The following is a 23,736-nucleotide window of genomic DNA, read 5'->3' as shown; positions in this document are numbered from 1 at the left end:
CGGGTGATTTATAAAGAAAAGAGGTTTAATTGACTCACAGTTCTGCAGGGCTAGGGAGGCCTCAGGAAACTTACAATCATTGCAGAAGCCAAAGGAGAAGCAGGCATGTTTTACATGGCAGCAGTTGAGAGAAAGAGAGAATGTGAAGGAAGCAAAGAGAGAAGAGCCCCTTATAAAACCATCAGATCTCATGAGAACTCCCTCACTATCATGAGAACATAACTGGGAAAACCAACCCCATGATCCAATCATCTCCCACCAGATCCATCCCTCAACAAGTGGAGACTATGGGGATTACAATTCAACATGAGATACCAGGGGCACAAAGCTTAACCATATCATAGGGTGAGGAGGGTGACCTGGCAGCACAGACCTCAGTCTGAGGCAAAATTTCTTGGAAGAGCATCTACTTAATGTTTCCTCAAGAATAATGAGCCACATTATTATAGGCTGCATTAGCAGGCCACATTTTTACAAGAATAGGCCACATACTGCCTGGGCTGGTCTTGAACTCCTGATCTCACGCAAGGTGGAAAGCTTGGGATTAGGAGCTCAAGACTAGCCTGGGCAACATGTTGAAACTCCACCTCTACAAAAAACAAAACAAAACAGAACAAAACAAAACAAAAACAAATAGTCAGGTGTGATGGCATGTGCCTGTAGTCCCAGCTACTCAGGAGGCTGAGGAGGGAGGATTGCTTGAGCCTGGGGGCTTGAGGCTGCAGCGGACTGTGACTGCACCACTGCACTCTAGCCTGGACCACAGAGTGAGACCCTGTCTCAAAAAAAAAAAAAAAAAAAAAAAAAGGCAAAAAATGACTATGGAGAACTCTTAGGGAATGGGAGGGGCCAGTGGAAAGGAACAGCTTAGTGGAGCTATGAGATGCATTGGGAGAGCTTTTAGTTTCAGCATGACTGGACATTGGGGTGTGAATGGTGAGGAGCTGGAGGGGAGAGGAAGCTCTAGAAGGAAGCTAGATCTGAAAGTCTGCAAGAAGGAATTTGTATTTTACCCTCCAGATGATGAACAGTTAATGAGGGATTTCAAGCAAGGAATAACCTAGGCAGATATGTACTTAATGAGAGCATTTTGACAGTACCATTAAGGATAAAGTGGAATGAGGAGACTGAGACAAGGAAATCTGTTAGTAACACAAGAGATGAGGTGAGGGTTTGAATTTCAACAGTGACAATAGTGTTTGAGGCAAAAATATCAAACTGGTCAGTACTAATGACCTAGCATTAGCAATGTAGGGAAAATTGGATAGTAATGGATGGTGGTTCTAGTCACCAAGAAAATAAATATAAGAAAATGGGCAGGTATTAAGAAGAGAAGTGGTGGATTTTGATTTTGACACATGGCTTTCGAGGAGCTTGAGATGACTATAGAATATAGATGTGTGGTAGGTAGTTGGTTTTGAATGGGATAGAATTTTAAATGAGAAATGGAAATATGGGAGCCAGTAGCTGAAGCCATGAGTTGAATGTTGAGATTGTCTAGGGGACCATTTTTATGTGACAACAAGGGGAAAGTGAGATGGGGAGAGTGGGGCAGGAAAACTTAATGTTTACATAGATGGACATTTTATAGTTCAAAGGTATTTAAAATACATTATCTTTTTTTGATGCCCATAACCATATTATGAAGAAGGCATTATTATGCTCACCTTTTTCCTTTTATTATGAGGACTGAAGCTTGGGGAAATTATGGGACTTCCATAAATAGCAAGGAATAGATCCTAGTCACAAACCAATGTCTTCTGATTACAAGTTTAGTATTCATTTCATTATATCAGAACTGCATTGTGACCACACATAGCTAATTTCATCTAATATCTCATACATGTGTTATACTCGTGACATGGTTGGAAAATAATCTCTCCTTCGATGCTCTCATTGAGACCAAAGGGAAATTTTCTGAAGTTAGTATTATGATAGGTAGGAAATAACAGCTGAGTTTCAGTGGGGGCAGTAACACTGCCTGAAGTAATTTTGAGTTGGTATTTTCAACTGATGTAGTCAGAACTGAATCAGTTCACATTTAAGATGGTAGAAAATACAGTATTAGCCATATTGTGGTTTGCTTTGCTAATGATTTAGCTTCTGCTTAAGTCCCATTTGTTGTGGAAAGATAGATATTTTAAAAATTGACTTAGGTAAAGAAGGAAACGCAAATTAAAATACCACCATCTTACTTAATATGCATACAATCTTACTGAATCAGAATGTTCTATCTTGAGGGAAGTATCTGACAACCTGTCACGTTCACAAAGGGTAGGTAAATGGGTAGAAAAATGTGTAGTAAAATCTAGCTTGCCCTTACAAAGGGCTGAAAAATATTGGGTGATGTTTCCCTATCTTCCCACCAACAAAGTAGGCAATCTCTGCTATAAACGCATCTGGAAAATAAGTGTCTTAATAAGGAGAAACATTAGTGAGAATTAGCATAGGGCTAATGGCCTAGAATGCATACTTGCCAATTTTGTATTTTTCAGCTACGTTTTTAGAAAGACATTTTAAAATTATTTATGCTGTTTTCTGGAGATTTCTGTGGGTTGAAAGAGAGTCACCAATTTATTCTGCTGCGTTTTTGACCATGTGGCATTTAATATGCAAAACGATAGTGTTCTAATGTTGGTGAGGGCAAAGTAGAATATAATTATAAAAGACAAGAAAATGGCTCTCTTCTAAATATGGCTATTGCCTAAGTACAGTTGGCTGATCATAAAATGTGCAATTCAAACTTTCATATCGATATTTTTGATTGACGGTACCCTTGGGTTAGTGGAGTGAGCTTCATTTATTAAGAAGTCATAGAAAGTCAGGTTGATTGTCTGGGCAGGTGGACACTTGCTTGAAGGATAATGCTAAAAAGGCAAGAGAATAGAAAAGCTAGTCCCTATGATGACTGTAGACCACTACAGTTGCCTACCTGATAGACACAGGGTAGCAAAAAATCAGAACAGACCTCACTGTAGATTCTATCAGGTTTTAAATATTTTTGCTTTAATCTTTCCAGCATTCATCTTTTTCATTCACCAAATACAAGAAAATGGTGTGTAAACAATGTCTTCCATGGAAGAAAATGTGGCTGATTGTGCAATATAAGAAACACTATTTGTAATCCCCTCCATTTTCCCTACTGCTTATATCTTCGTGAGCACAGGCAAGGATTTGTGTATTAAAACTGACTCGAGTGATAAAATGTTTGTTTATTCAATTTCAGAAAGAATGTTTATTTTTCTGTGGCTATAGGGCCAAAGATTATGCTAATATGTTCCATATATATATATATAAAGACAGGCTACCATTAAGGCAATCTCTAGATGCTCAGTTCTCTCTGTCACATAAGAAGGCTGAGCAAGGGCTTGTGCAATATTTTGCAGTCATATTTACTGCCATATGGCCATTTCCAAATTACATTGTGTTGTAAGTTGAGATTGTCTGAAGGAGTTTGGCTAACTTCCATCTTGGGAATACCTTTCACAGAGGCTGATGCTAATGGGAATGTGATTGTCTGGTAATGTAACAGCGTTAATATTGTTTTTATTGAGTTAGCTGGACTACTAGCTATTGTATGCTGGAGAAAATACAGTTTATGGTACAATGATCTAATGTTGATAGCTTGCCAGACATCTCTCTTGCTAAGCATGTAATTCATCTAAGTAACCCCGGCTGTGTGATTTTTTTTTTTTTTCCTGTGGTCTGAACCACTTCTTAGCAAAGGTCTCAAAAATTGACATTAAAATAAGCAGGGAGATAAAAATGTTTATCTTATTCTATAGCCACATTTTATATATTTTATAGTTACTATTTTTATGTGTGTTCACAAAACAAAGCTAGTGTGCAAATTAAAAATGTAAATTCATCTAAGAATGTTAGTTTCTATTCAGAATGTTCATTTCTGAATCAGAAACTCTAAGGACAGGCCAAGAATTACATGTTTTAACAAGATTTCTACAGGATTTTCATACTCATTCAAGTTTGAAAACCATTGCTTTAGACCTCTACTTTTTAATGGTTATTGAAATACAACAAAAGATGAAATATAATAACTTTGGAATTATAAACATGTCATCTTACTTGATACTTCCATAGAAGACTCTAAGATGAGATCTCAAAGTCATCTACATAAACCAATTAAAATATACCTCACATAGTGTTGAAATTGATGGTTACTTTCATACCTATTTAACAAATGGAGAGAACAAGGATTTTTTAAAACTTATTTCCTCAGGGGCATAAAGTGAGCTTATTATAAGAAAGAAATGTCTGATTTTAACCAGTCATCCTGTACTCTACTATGTCCCAATGATTAAGACTAACAACAATAACAACACAAAACAAAACAGAATTCCTCATACACTGGCATTTTTATCACACTTTTATGTCCCAGCGTATGAAGTTAGACCCGAAAGAAATAGTTTTTGGAATATGAATATTTATAGAAAGTATTAATTACCAAGTAAACTCCTTGATATATGAAAACGAAAATATACTCTTTGTTTTTCCTTTTACACTCCCTAAAAGGAGTGTAATCTTATGTTTCATGTGATCACCAGCCCTAGAGATTGGAAATGACCGTGATGGGAGACTGCTGCTCTAAATTAAACAAAGTAAAATGGAGTGACCCTCTGGAGATACCTCGTCTGTACTTTGCTGATAATGTTGCATAGCTAAATATGGCTTTCAAAAGGATAAATGAGTGTCATCTCTTTTCTCTTCTCTATGTAATCATGCTGTTGATATTTTCTAGTATTTAAGTTTCTTTGCTAGTCAGAAGGCAGTACCATATGTGATAAGTCACACCCATAGCAATTTTTTAATCAATGTAGTTTGTGAATACTAAGTGTGGAAGAGAAAATAACTGGGGGTCTTACCTTCCTGCCAGAGCCAGCAGTGTTAAGTTTCATGATATTAAAAAAAAAATAAAAATGGAATTGTCAGGGCTGTAAGTCAGCAGCCGAAGCAGGAATGACTGCAACTTAGGGACTATAAATTTTGGAGTGTGAATGTGACTTACCATACATGAATTTTTTAAAAAAATTAAAATATTTAAAGTATCCAGCCTGGATACAGTTTATCCTGAGCTACTGAAAATTTATTTTCAATGTATTTTGGCTACTTCTGAAGTAACCTGAGATGTAAGATAGAAGCCAGAACTAGTGCAAGTGTAAGCAAATGTGTAAAGCCAGCATGATCATTTATGTCTGACCCAATATTTTCTATTCAATTTAGCTATGTGTTTTTCTTCAACATTTTCACTAACTCTTAAAATTCATTCATAGCTAGCACCTATTTCAAAAGTGGCTACTCCCTAGCTGAAGGAACAGGCAAGTTCAAGCTTTCTTATTTTTTGAATGTCACACATATAAGAAAAATAAAGAATGACTTTTGCAAATGTATGCCACAAAATTACTAGCAATTCCCTCAAATATACAAAATCTATAGAAGTATAATACTGGCAACTGAAATTCCATCTTCATTTAATAACTGGATTTTGTAACTGAAAATCAAGGAACCAATTATGTCACTGGTTTCAGAGCAATTGCCCCAAAAGGTGAGTACTGGATGCTTCAAAACTTTCAGGGGGAAAATAAATGAATCAAGTGATTATTATTTAGTGTTTATCACACAGAGTTTGCGAGTAGCCGTGTTAGCTGAGTATTAGCCATAATCCATCTCTTGCTATAGGGAATGGAAATGTATAGAGTATTTTATAAATCAAAAATTTTATTTCTATTTAGAGCTTTCTAGCTGTTATATCTTCTCTAAGACTCTTTCCACTTCTGAAAATCTTGTAATTACAGCTGGACCTCAGGAAAACATGAAGTCACTTGAGGGAAGGTACAGATGGTTACTATCACAGGAACATTTGACATCTTGCCTTTAGTTGAATAAACCGGTAGGTTTTATAATAAATGTCAATAGCATTGAAATTTGAAACTAAATTTGAAACTGAAGCAACTATTGGTTCTTATGGACTAAGACCACTGATCAACCAGAAACTCTAGACTTTGTTTGTACCTGTTTTGTTGTGTTATTGATATTGTCTACAGATATACACATTCTAGGTTAGCTTCTGAACTAATATCTTCTAAGAATTTAAACACAAAAAATTTTCCTAAAAAAGAAGCTAGTATTACTTCTTTTTTTCTATGAGCTTCTGAAGATAAAATGTTTTAATTATGTATAACAAGATTAGTAACAAGATTACTAATACGATTTTCTGATGCCAGAATTGGACATTTTTTTCCATTTTTAATACATGCTCTCTTTTGCTTCAGGTTTTCAAAAATCTGTTCAGTATTCCACATGTTTCTGATATTTACATCTCATAAAGAATAAATCTGGAATGGAGTAAAAAAAAGGAGTTAAGTCCTAAATTATTCCCTATTGATATTGTCCTAATGTGAGGTTCTTCTCAAGGCTGAATTGGAATTCCAGTTCAAAATTTCTACTTAAAAGGGCTTATAACTATATTACTGCACTGAAAAAGTCTGTGAACTGGAAGATAAGTATATGGGCTGCACCTCCACTGCCCTTTGGTTTACAGGGTTCACATCTCATTGGAAAGTGGAGGGCACTATTGCCTGAGGACATTTGCCCTGTGCTCTTGATACTTGTCACATATAATGTACTGTGTTACATATATGAATTCATGTCAGAATCTGCCATTCCACAGTAAGGCAGAAATTTATGCAAATTATGTTTGCTCATGTTGAATGGTTAAATTCTTTGTGGGTCTGAAATGTGATACTTCTTTTAAAATGTATATGTGAAACAGGTTTGGAAATGTGGTAAGTTTGCAAATTTATACACTACACTCAGATGTACAAAAATTCCTCTGTAACTGATTTGAACTTTCTCATAACCTCTATCCACAGGGTGTTAGATAATATGTAAACTTACTAAGTTAACGTATTTCAGCCTCTTCTGGCTTAAGCCTCTCTCCTTTTGGATAAATATTGAGGCTACAGAGCTCATCTCTATTTCAGAGATGTTTCTTTCTTTGCAAATTCCCAAGATACCGTGTGGGCTCGAGGGGGAGACTGCTGACCCCTTTCTCAGTGTGAGGGTCAGGAGCTTAGCTCTCACACAGGCCCCTGTGAGGCCCTTTTGATTCCTTGCTGGTCTCTGTGACAAGGCTTTTGTTGCAGCTGCTCATCAGGCATCCTGTTATCATTTCCGGCAGAGTTAGGAAAGTTGGTGACATTTGGAGTACTTCCTGGGCTGAGTTGGCCTCTCCTAGGCTTCCCTTGTTTCTCTGATCCTTTGAGGCTTAACCAAGTTCTACATTTGCTGACTTAGGCTTTTCTTCTCCACTCTGACATAGGTTCATCATGATATTTACCTCAGTGTCCCTACAGTAGGCAGGCTAGTTCTGACCTCTCAGCTACTTCCGATGCCTCCACTGGGAATATCAAACCCCACGGAAGGTGAGGAATTTCTGCAGCACTAGTCCCAGATCATCCTTTCTCTATTCCTCCTATGCCACTGGTTCTATGCAGTGGCTGGTACATGGTGATGGGAGGCCTTCTAGAAGATGTTTTCCCAGTAGGGCATAAGATCCCTTATAGGGACCTAAGCTCCTTGGATTACCTTCCTCCTAAACTATCTAGAACTTTCTAGACTATCTAGAAACTTTCTACTCAAGCATGTGAGGTGGGCAGAGAATGAGATTAGCATCCCTCTTTTTATCTTTCTTCTTTTGCCCTCTACCCTTGCAAAAACTCCTATTTTTTTTTTTTTTATCTTCAGGAATATTTTCTGTGTCATATTTTCTCCTTTCAAGATAGCATTTCCAGGGATGTATTTACTGAGAAGGAAACGATGTCAGGAAATATTAGAAAATATTGTCCTCATTTTTTACAATATCAAACTGACAGAAATCACTGGATCATATCTTAGAAAAAAATTTCTAGTGCCATTAAGTTGATATATTTTTATATATTATATGTTTTAGTTCAATAGTTACTAAAGTACCCCAATCATGAGCAAAGTAAAGAAAATTTTAGGCTTTTGAAATTTTAATGGCAACAGTTAGGAAAGCCTATTAAAAGATGCTTTTCTGAGACCTATAAGTGTCATAAATGTATGCTACATGATTGAGTTTTGAAAAATATTTTTAATAATATTTATTTAATGCTTTTTACTTTTCAAAGTACTTTAGTATTCATTGTCTTATTTGATCTTCACAACCTTCTTGTGATGTAGGCAAGGTAGATGTTATTCTGTTTTCTAGATGAGGAAATTAAAATATTAAGTGAATTGCTTTGAATCACGTGGGACCTTGACATTTATGTTGGAGCTAGAAGGAACTGTATTCTCAATTCTGCTTCTGGCTTGGTGTTCTTTCCTTGAAACTGTATTTGTAATGTATTACTTAAGAAATTTTTTAAAAAGAGAGAAAAATCAAACCACCCTTTACTTGTCTTCTTATAAAGAGAGTCACTAATATACTTGTGTCTCCTGCATAGGGCTTAAATGTCTGTGCAAGAGTCTTTAACACAGTGGGCATACACTTGTCCCAAAGGCACACGAGCTTCTTTCCCTATCATTCTGATAGTCCTGTCCTGCAGACTCGCAGGCTTCTCCAGTCATTCTCATCTCCTCTTTTCTTGAATCATCTACTCGTTTATTGTCTTTGTTTATCTCTTGGCCATGATATTTTGTGTTGCCACTCCAACCCCAAAAGAAGTCAGAACCTTTGACTTCTGTCTTTTCTCCATGATAATGTTTAATAGTTTTCTTGATTACAGCATTTTCACTTGTTCTAGTCATACTATTGCTAAATCTACCACACAATTGTATAGGCCTGTATTAGTCTGGGTTTTCTAAGGGGAAATAACTAATTGGATAGATGAATATGTGAAGGGAAGTTTATTAAGGAGTATTGACTCACAAGATCACAAGGTGAAGTCCCACAATAGGCCGTCTGCATGCTGAGCAGCAAGGAAGCCAGTCCAAGTCCCAAAACCCCAAAAGTAGGGAAGCTGATAGTACAGCCTTCCATCTGTGGCCAAAGGTGCAAGAACCACTGGCAAATCGCTGATGTGAGTCCAAGAGTCCAAAAGCTGAAGAACTTGGAGTCTGATGTTCGAGGGCAGGAAGCATCCAGCACAGGAGAAAGATGGAGGCCAGAAGACTCAGCCAAGTCTGTTCTTTCCTTGCCTGATTTTATGCCAGCAGTTGATTAGACGGTGCCCACCTAGACTGAGGGTGGGTCTGCCTCTCCCAATCCAGTGACTCAAATGTTAATCTCCTTTGGCAACACCCTTATAGACATACCCCCCAAAAATAGTTTGCATCCTTCAATCCAATCAAGTCTACACTCAATATTAACCATCACAAGACCCTTGATATCCTACACAATTTCTCATGAACTAATTCTCATTTGATCTAATCAGGTATAAATGTAAATTATTTTAGAAAAAAATGTTTTATTTCATGACTTAGGCAAATTGTTACATTTATAGACCATGTTGGCCTGGATGACTGAATATGCTGAGAATGTTCAGTACTGATAGCTTTCTTTAGTTTTGGTGAATCTTGGAAACCAGCACATTATTCAGAGTGAACAGTAATTCATCAGAGTGAATAGAAAGAAGACTGATTAAATTGAATTTATCATCCTCAAATAGGGGGCTTAGTAAATAGCCCCCTATTTGATGGCACACTTAAATAGGGGGCTATTTACTAAGGTGTGGGCAGAATTTAAGTTCTCTAACAAGACACGGGATGGTAGGCAGCTTTCAAGATGACCCCAATGATCCTGATCTTGTGCTATTCACTGCCTCATGTAATCTCCTCCCCTTGATTAAGTTGTATACAACCAACAGAATATCTCAACTTTGAGGGTACGCCACTTCTAAGATTAAATTACAAAAGACTCTGACTTATGTCTTGCTAGCAGACACTTGCCCTCGCTGGCTTTGAGGCAGCAAGTTGCCATGCTGGAGAGTACTACACGGCAAGGGATTGAGGATACCCTCTGGTCAATAGCCAGAAAGGAACTGAGCCCCTCAGTCCTACAATCCAAAAGGAAATAAATACAGCAACAATGAATTTGAACTAAATCCTTCCTTAGTGGAGCTTTCAGATGAGCACCAGCCCTGGCCAATACCTTGATTGCTTCTGCTGGGACACCCAGAGTCAGAGGATACAGCTAAACCATGCCTGATTCCTGACCCATAGAAACTTTGAGATAATTAATGTGTGTTGGTTTAAGCCACTAAATTCATGTTAATTGGTTATGCTGCAATTGATAATTAATATAGATGATGACACTTGGGAGCCACTACCATCCAGGTCTGAGCGGGGAAGGAGACAAAGCAGTTACCAGACTCCAGAGGGCAGCTTTATGGAGAGGGACTGGAGCTGTAGCTGTTGGGAGAGGAACAAACAAGTTAAAGCAACTTAGCAGGAGGGAACTGACAGAATACTTAGTGGCCTTAATCTTCCACTGTCCTTGCATTCCTTCCAGAGCTTTATTTTGACCTACCTGAACCAGATGTGAGAGGAGACTCACTGTTGCTGTCTCTGTGGGCGATCTTCCTGGGCAGAATGAACAGTGTATCCATTTGTTAGGGCTGCTGTAACAAAGTACTACAAAACAGGTGGCTTAAAACAACAGGAATTTATTGTCTTAGGGCAGCATTTTCCACCCCTTGGACTATGGACCTGTAGGGGTCTGTGGCTGGTTAGGAACTGGGCTGCACGTCAGGAGGTGAGTAGTGGGTGAGCAAGCATTACCACCTGAGCTCCACCTCCTGTCAGATCAGCTGGCCATTAGATTTCCATAAAAGCATGAACCCTATGGTGAACTGTGCAAGCGAGGAATCTAGGTTGCACGCTCCTTATGAGAAGCTAGTGCCTGATGACCTGAGGTGAAGCAGTTTCATCCTGAAACCATCCCCACAACCCCGCAGTTCATGAAAAAATTGTCTTCCACGGAACCAGTCCCTGGTGCCAAAAAGGTTAGGGACTGCTGTCTTAGGGTTCTGTAGGTTAGAAGCTTGAAATCAGGGTTTCAACAGGACTATATTTCCTCTGAAGCCTAGAGAAGAGAATCCTTCCTCACCTCTTCTTAGATTCTGATGGTTTGCAGTGATCTTCGATGGTCCTTGCTTTGCAGCTGCTGCTTAGACATCTGGCTCTGTCTTCTCACAGTGTTTTACCCCCGTGTGTCTGTGTCTTTTCTTTTCTTTTATAAGGACCCCAATCATATGCACTAGGGCTCACTCAAATCCAGTATGACCTCATCTTAAACTTGATTACATCTGCAAAGACCCTATTTCCAAATAAGGTCACACTCACAGTTACTGGGGGTTTGGATTTAAACATACCTTTTTGCAGGACACAAACCCATAATTGAGGAAGCAGAGTACATTAGGAAGGACAAACAGAAGAGATCCAGCATATAACACCATGGGAAGAGAAAGGTATGTATGGGGTATTTATTTATAATGTTGATATTAAACATAAGCTTGCAACTAATTCATTGAATGAAATGAGCATTTTCTTATCTTCTTTGAGAACAGATTTCTTTTGTAATCTATGCTTTGTGGAGAAAAGGCTATCAAAGCCCAGTAACTGGTGCAGGCTGTCTCAACACAGAAGACAAGTTTGTTGCCTTTATTGTACTGCCCTAGGCTTTGGAATTGGCATGCTCTTTATAAATCTCCCCAAACCACTAAAATAAGACTCATGCAATTTTGGATGTTATAGGAAGAGGGAACTATATCAACCATGGTAACTACATCTTACATGGCAGAATATTTAGACTTGTGAAATATATTTTATAAAGTACCGCGCATTATTCAAGCTTTGCATTTATTTTCCTTTTAATATTACCTGTTTATATTAGAAATAATCATAACTTTCAGGAAAAATGTTTCACAATTTTGTGATGATTTCTAAAAATTTTACATAGATATTTCATGGCATTCAAAGAAAAGTATCTGCAGTTTAGCCACTACACTTTTTCCTCATAAACTCTAAAGATGATTTTTTTTTCTGGTAAAAATAATTGAGCAAATTTCAGTGGCATGAGAGAATAGGCAATATCTCATTCTCGAATCATTAGAACTTTCATATTTAAATTTTAATTGCTTAATCTGGAAGACAACTTTGATGATTTAAGGTTGTAGTGAAAAGCACTGCAAGCCTTCAAACCTACAATCAATTTACAAAAATATGCCAGTTCTGAATTTATTGACCATCTGTCAGTCTTCCCTCACTCCTAGCTAGCTGTCGGTGTTTATTATTTGATGCAGTATGTAATGAGTCACTGCAAGGAACAACTCATATCTATAGCACAATGATTAATGGGGTCATTGTCTACCCACAATCACCTCAGCCATCATTCTTTCCTTCCAGGCATGGGTAAATGGCAATACCCAAATCAAACGGAGATTCCCAGAGCCATCCTGAAGCACAAAGTTACTTGTGTACTGCACTAATTTGATTGGCATGTAATAAATTCAGCTACACCCAGTCAAACCTCTTCTATGACAATGCTTACAAATGTTAAATCCATAATAATTTTAAAAGACATCCTAAATAAGCCCATCTAGAGCTTGTTTTTTTTACACACAAATACACTCATACACACACCCATGTAATTATTATTTGCTTATAATGTAGTATTTAAAATAATTAAAAACTGAAACTGACAAAGTCAAATTTTAGGACCATATTGACTCTGATCTACTTTTTATTAGATACCACAGATAGATTTAAAGCATACAGGTGACACTCTCATTGCGAGACAGTCTTTTATAGTAGGAAAGGCATGGACATTTGAGTCAGGCAGACCAGAATCTACTGCTGATGAGCTGTGATGCATTGGACAGCTACCATTCTTCTTTCATCTTCAGCATCTTTGCATATAAAATATGGATAATGTTCACTACCTGGTATGCTTGTTGGTAATATCACATGAGATAATACTGCAAACGTCTGTTCTCGATCATGGTATTGGCGGCAACAAGAAATAGAGTGCAGAAATCAGGAGAAAAGGAGTTGGAAAAAAATTCAAAGCCCAAAGCTCCACTAGGTTATCTTTTAGATTGGTAAGAAAGTTCTATGATTTATGCCTTTTAGAATATTGAGCTATTAATTTTAGGACAAGAATCCCTAGGACTTAGGTTGTGATAGTGGATAGTTGCTTTAACCTATTTGGGGGAGACAAAAGTGCTTAGGAGAGAGAACAAAATAGATAAAATGCATAAGAAGATATCTATCTATCTATCTCTCCATCCATCTATCTATCATGTGTTACGGTGCAAAGGCATATATTTGGAAGATATCTATATGTGTACTATTTTAAAAATAGAAGCAGAGCTTTCATATAGGAGACTGAAGGCATCCTGAGAAGTAAGTGATGAAAAACAGAAAGAGCACTTTGGGAGGCCAAGGCAGGCAGATCACTTGAGCCCAGGAGTTCAAGACCAGCCTGGGCAATATGGTGAAACCCTGTCTCTACAAAAAATACAAAATTTAGCCCAGCTGTGGTGGCATGTGCCTGTAGTAGTAGCTACTCCAGAGCCTGAAGTGTGAGGATTGCTTGAGCCTGGGAGGTCAAGGCTGCAGTCAGCTGTGATCATGCCACTGCACTCCAGCCTGGGCGACAGAAGGAGACTCTGTCTTAAAAAACAAACAAAGCAGAAGGAACAAATATGGCTGGACCTAGGTGAGAGTTATATCCATATCAAAAGATGACTGTAGAAGGTGTCTTTAAAATGGCTTGACCTATTAACACATCCCTAGACCCTTCAGCAATGCGTGACAATGACCTGGCTATGAGATAAGTGATGGTTATTACCTAGATACATCTGTACAAATTTTAGAGTGTACTCTAAGCAGGTAATGAAAGTAGCATGGCAGAAAAAGTTTGGTCCAGGATGCGGATGCCTGCTCATTTTGGCAGGGGTGACTGAGAATTAGATGTATGGTTTCTCTAAATGGAAAAAATCCACACTTTGCAGTAAAATAGTTTGTCTTTAGGCTTTGTGCACCTAGTGAGCTGCCTGAATTTGGTGTTAGACATATAAGTTATTAGATAAAACTAAGAACTAAATATTCGATATAATTTAATGATTTGAGTTTGAGTCATTCCATCATTCACTTTAATATCCTGGTCCCTAGAATCATCACTTTGAGTGTTTGCCTTTATGATTATATCTTGCTCACATTTTCTTAATATTCAAATGGAAAAGGTTGAATTTTTTGATTGGCAGCTCATATCTAACAGTATTTTTCTATCAAGTAAACCTCTAAGAATTTGGTCCAAAATTACTAGAGCCCTTTCTACCTGAATAGCCCCGATATTTGGCTTGAAGCCTGCAGAAATGTCCAATGCAGAACTCAGGAAGTAATACATTCCAAGAGAAACTGATGGTGAAGTGGAGTTATCACCAGGGCAAGGTCTGCTGACTCTCTATTATCAGACCTCAGCGTCTTGGTGAATTTACCAGGGCCCGGGATGATAGCTTTGCTGATCCAGTGGTTCAGAAACTTGATTTTTGTTAGTTTTGTAGCGAAATCAGAACATGAAGGAGTTGTTTCATATTAACCAAACTCACATAAGGATAAAATATTCACCGGAATGCATCTTATTGATATTGTGAAAATTATCAGGCAGATTAGAATGTCTGTGCAGTGCCTGTGAAAGCAAATTATTATGGAAGCCAAATTATAATAAGAAGGCAGTTTGGGGATAATAAAAAAGAGAAAAATTTAGTTGAGTAATGCAAATGTTTACTAACATAAAGGAAATACATGCAGGCTATGTGTAGTAAAATATTATGATTTGGATGTTGATAATTTGAGTCAGGGAAATTTCATTTTTTGATTATGACTAAATGGTACTCTGAGAAGGGGCTAGGCTAGAGTTACACATCATTTGGATATAATGTGCTAAGTGGAACTATAATCAGAATTTCAGAAATATAATAAGAATCAAAACACTTTTTCTTTACAATAAATAGAATTTTAAGTCTTAAAGTAACCATAAAAGATCACATGATCCAACTTTCTCATTTTACAGATAAATAACCATGGTGAGTGATGGTTATGTTACTCACACAAGATCACATAACTAATTAGTATTGAGCTCCATCTGGACACTGGTCTCCTGACTATTAGGTACCAGTGCTTTACTCCATCTATTTATCCAAATCATCTCTAATCTATATAGACAGCAAAATGCCATCGAGCAGGACCAATTAGTTTGTTTTACTATAAATGTTTAAAAGCTGAAAATTTAATTTATCAACAATTAATATGTAATTAAGACTTTTCACTATTATTTTATTCAGTAAAATGTTGCTCTACAACAAAGAAGTATATAAACTACCTAATATCATAAAATAGTAGAATTTTCAAATGTTCTTATTACTCATTTGGTGCTCCATTGTACTGTTCAGAAAATTAGTATTGGGAATTAGGAGTAAAGTAGTATTATAAAAGCCAAAATATATGAACCTTAAGAAAGAAGAGTATAAATTCAAAATTTAAAAAAAATCTGAACTTCCAAGCATATAGAAAAGCACCTTCGAAGATATTTCTTCACATATTTTCTAGTGATAAGGAGTTTTTCTCTGGATTCTTTACCCTTAACCAATAACAAATCTACTTTCACTAATATATAGTGATTTTTTTTTAGTTTTCTTTTGATCTTCACAGTGAAGATAGGCCCATAGATTCCTTCAGAAACAAGATGACTTAAAAAAAAAAAGAAAAATAGAAGCACAGGGTGTGTTAGTAAATAAATATATTTAGACACCATTCTCTTACTTCTCAGGGTCACTCAGACAATGTTATTTGGCTAATTTTGTTCTTAGTGTGTTCTATTCTCCTGTTCCCTATCAGAGACAGTCATTTTTGTGAGGATTTAGTGTTCTTTGTGAAGTTTTAATGCAGTTCTAAAAATACATTTTAAACAGATACTGTTTTTATGATGATAACATAGCTTGATAAAAGGCATATTTAACAGATAAAAAACATTTTCCTCTGATGCCTAAATGGGTTGTTTCTCTTAACATTGGTTGTTAGATGAATCAAAGGAATATTAGTTTGTTCATAATTAACAGTAAATGTTATTATATGATTATGTCTAATAAATGTAGAAGTGATTAGAAATCATCATTTGGCAATTTCCATAGCAATAACTGTTTTAGGTAAAATCATTGCATGGTGGGACTAGTGGACAAAAATATAGTGAGCAACAGAGTATTTACTTAGTCTTAAAATATCTCCTCACAGATGTTTATTGGTTATAAAAGGAAACTGAATAATTCTATAGTGGAGATTATTCACACACTACCTTAATCTAGTGGTCAAAGTTAATATCATTATTAGTGGGACAAATTGACTTCATATGTCTCCTAATATGATGCATTGAGAAGGACGCAATATCACTCTTGTATTGCTTTGCCAAGAGGGCATAAACTGATGTAAACATGAGAAAAAAATGGACAAACCAAAATTGAGAAACAGTCTACAAAATGCAGACCTGTATTCTTCAAATGTCAAGGTTGAGAAAGACAAAGAAAGGTAGGGAAATTTTTCTAGACTGAAGGAACTAAAGAAACATAACTTGCAAATGGAGTGTGTGGGCCTAAATTAAATTTGGGGCTAGAAAACATTTTGTTTTCTTTTGCTATGAAGGACATTAGTGGAACAACTGATGAAATGAGTAAGTCTATAGATTATGTTATAATACTGTATCAATGTTTCTAATTTTGATAATTCTACTCTGGTTGTGTAAGTGAATGTTACTGTTCTTGAGAAATGCTACAGTCTGTAGGAGTGAAGGAATGTTATGTCTGATAATTACTTTTAAAATGTAGAGATTTTATTTTTGATATATTGTTTATATGAGAATACTATATATAAAATAATCTGAGGAATCAGAGCAAAGGCTATGAGAGAACTTGTATTGCTTTACAACTTTTCTCTAAGTCTTAAATTATTTCAGACAGTTAAGGAGTTATTACATGGTTGGCATCTAACGTATTTTTATTGTAATTCATTTGACTAAAACAACATTTATTGAGTGCCTACTAAGGACCAGAAGCTGTGCTGCAATTTCCATAAATTATTTCAAGTGGTCTTCACATGACCCTGTGAGTAGGTCATTGTTATAACAATTTCACAGTTAAGGACACTCATGCTTAGGGAATAACCACTTAACTGAGACCTGTGAAGTCACATAGCCAGAAAATGGCAGATAAGATTTGAACTGGGGTGGCCTAATTTTATTTCCATCACTCTTCACTATACCAGACCATCAATCTATATTGTAGCAAATAATTGCATCTTCTAAGAGTAATGAATGACTTTAGAGATAACTGTGTAGAGAGTTCTATCAAAGAGTGACTTCTTTCTCCTGTGTTAGAATGTCATTATTGAAATTGTAGATCCCCAAAATTTGTGAATTTCTTGGACAAGGAGTGCGTTCTCCTGTTGTATGTTTTTGAAGCATCTAGAGAAGTATCTGGCACATAGTACTATTTTGAATATTTGTTGAATAAATCAATGAAAGTGAAACAAAAGTTTGATACAAGAAGTATAGAGACACGGTGGAGAACAGGCCAGGGAGGTTATCAGAGGACTCTGTTAATAACAGCATAAGAATTAAAGGAAGTAAAAACTAGATGAAGATTTCCATTTCCAGTGAATGGAAGCAGCTTCTCCCTGTGACGGTACAGAGTTTATTTTGGCATCTGCCCCTTGAAGTGGGGAGTAAAGTAAGGCAAACTCACCATGAGTCACACAGCCCCTCAAAGGCATGCATCAGGCAACAACCTGAACTGACAGTGACAGCCAAGAGGAGAGATCAGTTTTGAGATGAGAAATGAAGGGAATTGCTGGGTACTCTTTCTGTAGTGGAGTCCTGGAAATTTCTGGAACACTGAACACAGATTTAGAGGGTCATCCAAGGCCTCCATTTTTTTCTGGGTAGCAGAGAACATCATTGCTTGTTGTAATGTGATAAATGAATTTGGAGGCCAAAGGCACCCATAATTTTCACTGTTTTTATGCATTCTTTTTCTTATAAGTCAGACATCTGTGTAATCTGTGACTTTGTTGTTATTTAAACAAAACTTCTTCATATGGTTTCATTTTTAAAAGTTAATCACTCAAATAATGGGAAAGGTGGGGTGAAACAGGGATGGCATAATATTATTTGCCTGTGGAAGTTTGTGAAAAATTGGATGTGTGGATGTTTTATAAGTAAATGAATTCTAATCATGTTAGACATTGTTTATAGAGTTAGGCATAGGCGAAGCTCTTTGCATTTTTAGGGTGTCATTCTGTGGCCAATGTACTAAAGAATGACTACATTCCTTATCACTCTTTTAGCATTGGATGGCTGTTATGGATATCAAGTCCTTTTCCAAAGCAACAAGTAAAGTGGCTTCCACATGGAGAAATTTTCCTGTGGTTATTCTATGCACTCCAAGTGTAACCTTGAAATTAATGACAACACAGTGCTAGCAACACCCAGACGACAGTATGTACAAGAGCCTGGGCGTGGAACATTTTGGTTCAATCATGTAATCTCTCTTATTATTTTTGATATCAACTTGAATAAAAAACAAAAACAAGCAAACAAAAAAGAGCTATTTCAACCACAATTGAAGTTGAATGGTCAACTCATGATAGGCATTGCAACAATCTACAGTTCAGTTAGAGATTCCATTTACTTACCAGTATTACAATATTTCACCATTGATACCTTTCTATGGTAGGCACAGTCCTTTTGCAAGTGAAATATTTCTAAGTCTGAAAGTAAAATTCCACTGAAAATAGTTTCAATGGCATCCATTATTTTTAGAAATAAAATGCAATTTATGACAATGTTTTCATGAAATAAGCAATGAAATGTTCCACTTCTATTTGCTGAATCATAGTGTACTTTTGGATACCAGTTCAGTAGGGCAGATACAACACAGTGATATGCTCTAATAACACTGGTGACATCACCTACATCAATAGGTTTATCTAAGGGAGAAAAATTTAGGAAAAAATCAGTGAGACGTGTTGTGAATCCACTAGAATGGAGAAAATCAGCTGCTTGTCTTAGCCATATAACTAACTGGTTTATGAATTTAGTAAGGAACACTTTATCTGTGTTTCGTATCAGTAAAATGTTGGGGATTTTATAAGAGCTCAAAAGACTCCTACCAGATTGTAAATACAGTCATGCATCACTTAAAGACAAGGATACATTCTGAGAAATGGTCATTAGGCAATTTTGTCATTGTGTGAACATCATAGAACATACTTAACAGACCTAGATAGTATAGTCTACTACACACCTAGGCTATATGGTATAGTCTGTTACTCCTAGGCTACAAACCTGTACATCATGTTATTGTACTGAATATTGTAGACAATTATAACACAGTGGTAATTATGTGTGCATTTAAACATATCTAAACGTAGAAAAGGTACAGTAAAAATATGGTATAAAACATCAAAATGGTATACCTGTGTAGTGTACTTAGCATGAACGGAACTTGCAGGACTGGAAGTTGCTCTGAGCAAGTTAGTGAGTGAGTGGTGAGTGAACGTGAAGGCCTAGGACATTACTATACACTACTGTAGACTTTATAAACACTGTATACTTAGACTAAACTGAATTTATAAAAATACTTCTTCTTTCTTCAATAAGAAGTTACCCCTAGCTTACTGTAAAGTTTTTACTTTATAAACTTTTTAATTCTTTAAAACTTTTGGACTCTTTAATAATAACACTTAGCTTAAAATATAAACACATTTTATAACTGTACAAAAATATTTTCTTCATACCGTTATTCTGTAAGCTTTTTAAAGTCTTTTATTTTTTACTATTTAAACTTTTTTGTTAAAAACTAAGACACAAACTCATACATTAGCCTAGGCCTAGACAGGGTCAGCATCATGAATACCACTGTCTTTCACCTCCACATCTTGTCCCACTAGAAGGTCTTAGAGGGCAATAACACATATGGAGCTGTCAACTCCTATGATAACAATGCCTTCGTCTGGAATACCTCCTGAAGGACCTGCCTGAGACTGTTTTACAAGTTAGCTTTTTTTTTTAATAAGTAGAAGGAGTATACTCTAAAATTATGATAAAATATAGTTTAGTAAAGATACAAACTTGTAACATAGTCGTTTGTTATCAAGTACATAATTGTATGTGTAAAACTTTTTATGACTGGCAGCACAGTAGGTTTGTTTATACCAGCACTGCCACAAAAATGTGAGTAATGTGTTGTGCTATGACATTACTGTGGCTACAACTCACTAGGATCTAGGAACTTTTCAGCTCTGTTATAATCTTATGAGTCACTGGTATACAAGAGATCTGTTACTGACTGAGACATTGTTATGTGGTGCATAACTGTGCTATAATGCTAAGGGTGTCTTCGATGAAATACAATAGTTTGAAAAATGATGGAATGAGATTAGCATTCTCCTCTCAATAGGCACAGAGTTACCTTTTTCCTTCAATGACTCATTTTTCCATTTTGCCTACAGATGTTATAAAGCTGAAAATGTTGCAAGCCTTGTAAAACTGGGAAATATTCAATGCTTCTTTTTGAACTCCTTTTACATTCAACTCCATCCTTACTCTGGTTTCTTATGGCCCATCGTTACAAGATGCTCCAATAGACAAGCCCTATCGGTCAAGATCTTTACCAGGACTTTTTGCTTTTATTTTGCTATAAAATGCTCTTTTCTAGACTTAAAAGAGATGATTACTAAATCCTAAATATCTTTAAATTAATAAAATGAAATAATGCTGGTTGAATTTCAAATATTGTAACTGGTGGTAGACAGTTAGGGAAGGTGTTCATGCTTGTCCTCTGAATTTCTGTAAGTGAAATTCTGACTTTCTCCCCTATGTTCGTAAAGACATTCCTAATTCACACTGTCTCTATGGCCTTCATATCATGTCTCCTCAGTGTCTATCTGATATAGGACTATAGGTAGACAGTTTTGCTTATTTTTGCATTGTTTGGTTTGTTATTTCTTTTGTGATATTTGTTGAATGTCACTGAGTTATAAAGAACTTTAATATCCCAATGTTTGCAAAATGATCAGAAATATTCTATTTAGTCAATACAAACTATTATTTTCTTTTATTCTTTTAAAAGTCATATTCTTTTAGGAAAATTAAACGAATGTGAACAAATGAAAATCAAATACAAATTCCTTTTTATTAACAACTGACTTTTTCCCCTTGGTATTTGCTTCTGAGAAGTTCTCATTATAAATTTTTAGCCTGAGGTCTGTTGAAAATCATTCAGGTCCTTTAGAAATGTAGGTGTCAAATCCTTCTAGATGTATATTTTAACACTCTAGCCTTGTTTGAATCATTTATTCTCTTTGGACCTTTGAGTGTCATGTTTTTAATCACTTTTCCTTGAAGAACTTAGGGTTCTTTTTTTCATTCTTTTTGACTAATAGCCTTGGTTTTTTAAATTTTATTCTCTTTGCCCTTCCTTGCACAAATTCACTTCTGCCATTTCTTTTTAATAACAAGGGGATAAACAGTATATCAAATGAGCTCCCCACCCATTTAAAACACAGGACATTTTATGAGGTGTTAGTGATGCTGATGGCTATTGAGACCTACGAGACAATAGGAAGACAGTGACTTGGTTACTTGTCACCAAATTTCTTTCAGGTTATAGATCAGTGGAAACTTTATACAGAAACATAAATATTAAAATCCTTTTTTATATATTGGCATTATCATGAATAATTATTGTTGGGAATATCTTTTTTTAAAAAATTAGTTTACTATTTTATATTTTTATTTTTTAAATTTATTCTATCCCTTAACAGTAGAAGTATTTCTGTATTCGGTAATCAAAGTGCTCACCCTATATATTAATTTACCTTTCTACTTTTTATTCATACGTTTAAAACCTTTTGGTGTTGTATTACTTTTTTTCACCCCTTTTCCTTGAATATTAATATATTAGGTGTACATAACTAGTCATTTTGCCATTCTACTTATCATGCTTTTGTTAAGTTATTTCCATTTGCAATTCTTTTGGTATTTCAAAACAGTCATGTATTCTTAGTGTCTCCCCTTGAACTTATTTTCTGCTGGATTTTGAATGCAGACAGTTCCTCAGCACAGGAGTACTTTTGATGTGTTGCAGGAGGGACTCCTTTGGGTGGTGCACGTGTGAAAGACGGATGGCAGATGGATTCTTAGGCAGCTGCTCGATGGCAAATGGAGGACAGAGCCCTCAAATATGTGGGCAGAAGGACACAGTGAAGCAAAACTCGAGCAGCGAGGCATAGCTGTGGAACCCGGGGACATGTCAGCAAGAATATCCACTACAGGAAATCAGGGCCTCATTTTGAAATTCAAAATAGCAGCTAACCTCACTGTCTCTGAAGCAAATCTTTTTAAAGCAAAGCATATTAACTGCTTGTTTTGTAATCAAAAATAATTTTCCACTCACCAGCATAGCAGCTCTTGAAGGTTAAGTATGAGATTCCTTAATTTCAATGATAAAACTTAAATCAAAATATCTTATAGCTGAACCTTTTATTCTACCTGCATATTTAAAAAGACATTTACGTTTCCATGTAAAATGCTCTTACTTGCGGTTGTTTATTAAGTATACATCTGATTCAGGGATGTTATTGCCTTAGAGACAATTTGCAGAAAGATTTGCAAAAAGCGTTCAGGCACACACTGTATAGAATAACTAGTTCAAGGCCGGGCGCGGTGGCTCACGCCTGTAATCCCAGCACTTTGGGAGGCCGAGGCGGGCGGATCACGAGGTCAGGAGATCGAGACCATCCCGGCTAAAATGGTGAAACCCCGTCTCTACTAAAAATACAAAAAATTAGCCGGGCGTAGTGGCGGGCGCCTGTAGTCCCAGCTACTTGGGAGGCTGAGGCAGGAGAATGGCGTGAACCCGGGAGGCGGAGCTTGCAGTGAGCCGAGATCCCGCCACTGCACTCCAGCCTGGGCGACAGAGCGAGACTCCGTCTCAAAAAAAAAAAAAAAAAAAGAATAACTAGTTCAAATATATCTACAGTCAGACAAGAGTCATAGTGTATGTCAGTTCAGATATTTGGCATTCTGGAATTATATATAAAATTGAAGATTTTGTATGTCTGGGACTAAATCTAGGAATTGATGTTTGAGATTTAAAACCTTAGAAACCTTTTATGTTTCCTGTATTACATTCAAACGAACACCTATATATTTATTCGAAGCAAATATTTATTAAGTGTTGAATTTGTACATAGTGTGTTAAACCAAGCATATATTGGGATGGCAAATTAATGCTAAGTTTCTTAAGGTGCTATGATCCTATTGGAAGATAAACACAAATACACAGACACACACACACCCACACAGAGCAATATAGTATAGTATAAGAGGGGTACAAATTAAGATCCCAAATTTGAGCTGGCAAACAGGGTTGTAATTTTTGGGAAGAACAGAAATTGAAGAAATAAAAGGTGTTCCCCTCAGGATCAACAACCTGAGTTTGGTTCCTAATCCTGCCCAGGACTTCATGAAGCATGGAAGTTCCTCTAGGTTCTTCTAATCACAGCCCAAACTATTTCAACTCCTCTCCACTATCATCAAACCTCCCCCAATATCTTTCCATTTCTTGGCAGATATCTTCCCACTTTACAAAACGTGTAGAATTCACCTTTAAATGCCATGCTAATCAAATGTCCCAGTCTACCTGC

General features: G+C 36.4%; 1 long non-coding RNA gene across 2 annotated transcripts; it reads left to right on the top strand.

Annotated features, from left to right (window-relative positions):
* Positions 1–852: 852 nt before the first annotated feature.
* Positions 853–22,739, top strand: LOC105370221 (uncharacterized). 2 transcript variants are annotated; one of them, XR_001749882.2, is made up of 3 exons: positions 853–5,905; positions 11,359–11,444; positions 22,176–22,739. It is a non-coding gene; the product is annotated as an uncharacterized LOC105370221 (long non-coding RNA). The 2 variants fall into 2 exon arrangements; XR_941991.3 differs by lacking the exon at positions 22,176–22,739 and adding an exon at positions 12,382–12,504.
* The last annotated feature ends 997 nt before the right edge of the window (positions 22,740–23,736 follow it).

The sequence above is a fragment of the Homo sapiens genome, chromosome 13 (assembly GCF_000001405.40).
Source record: "Homo sapiens chromosome 13, GRCh38.p14 Primary Assembly".
Taxonomy (NCBI): domain Eukaryota; kingdom Metazoa; phylum Chordata; class Mammalia; order Primates; family Hominidae; genus Homo; species Homo sapiens.
Note: the sequence above shows the minus strand (reverse complement) of the source record. Positions and strands in the feature narration are given on the sequence as shown.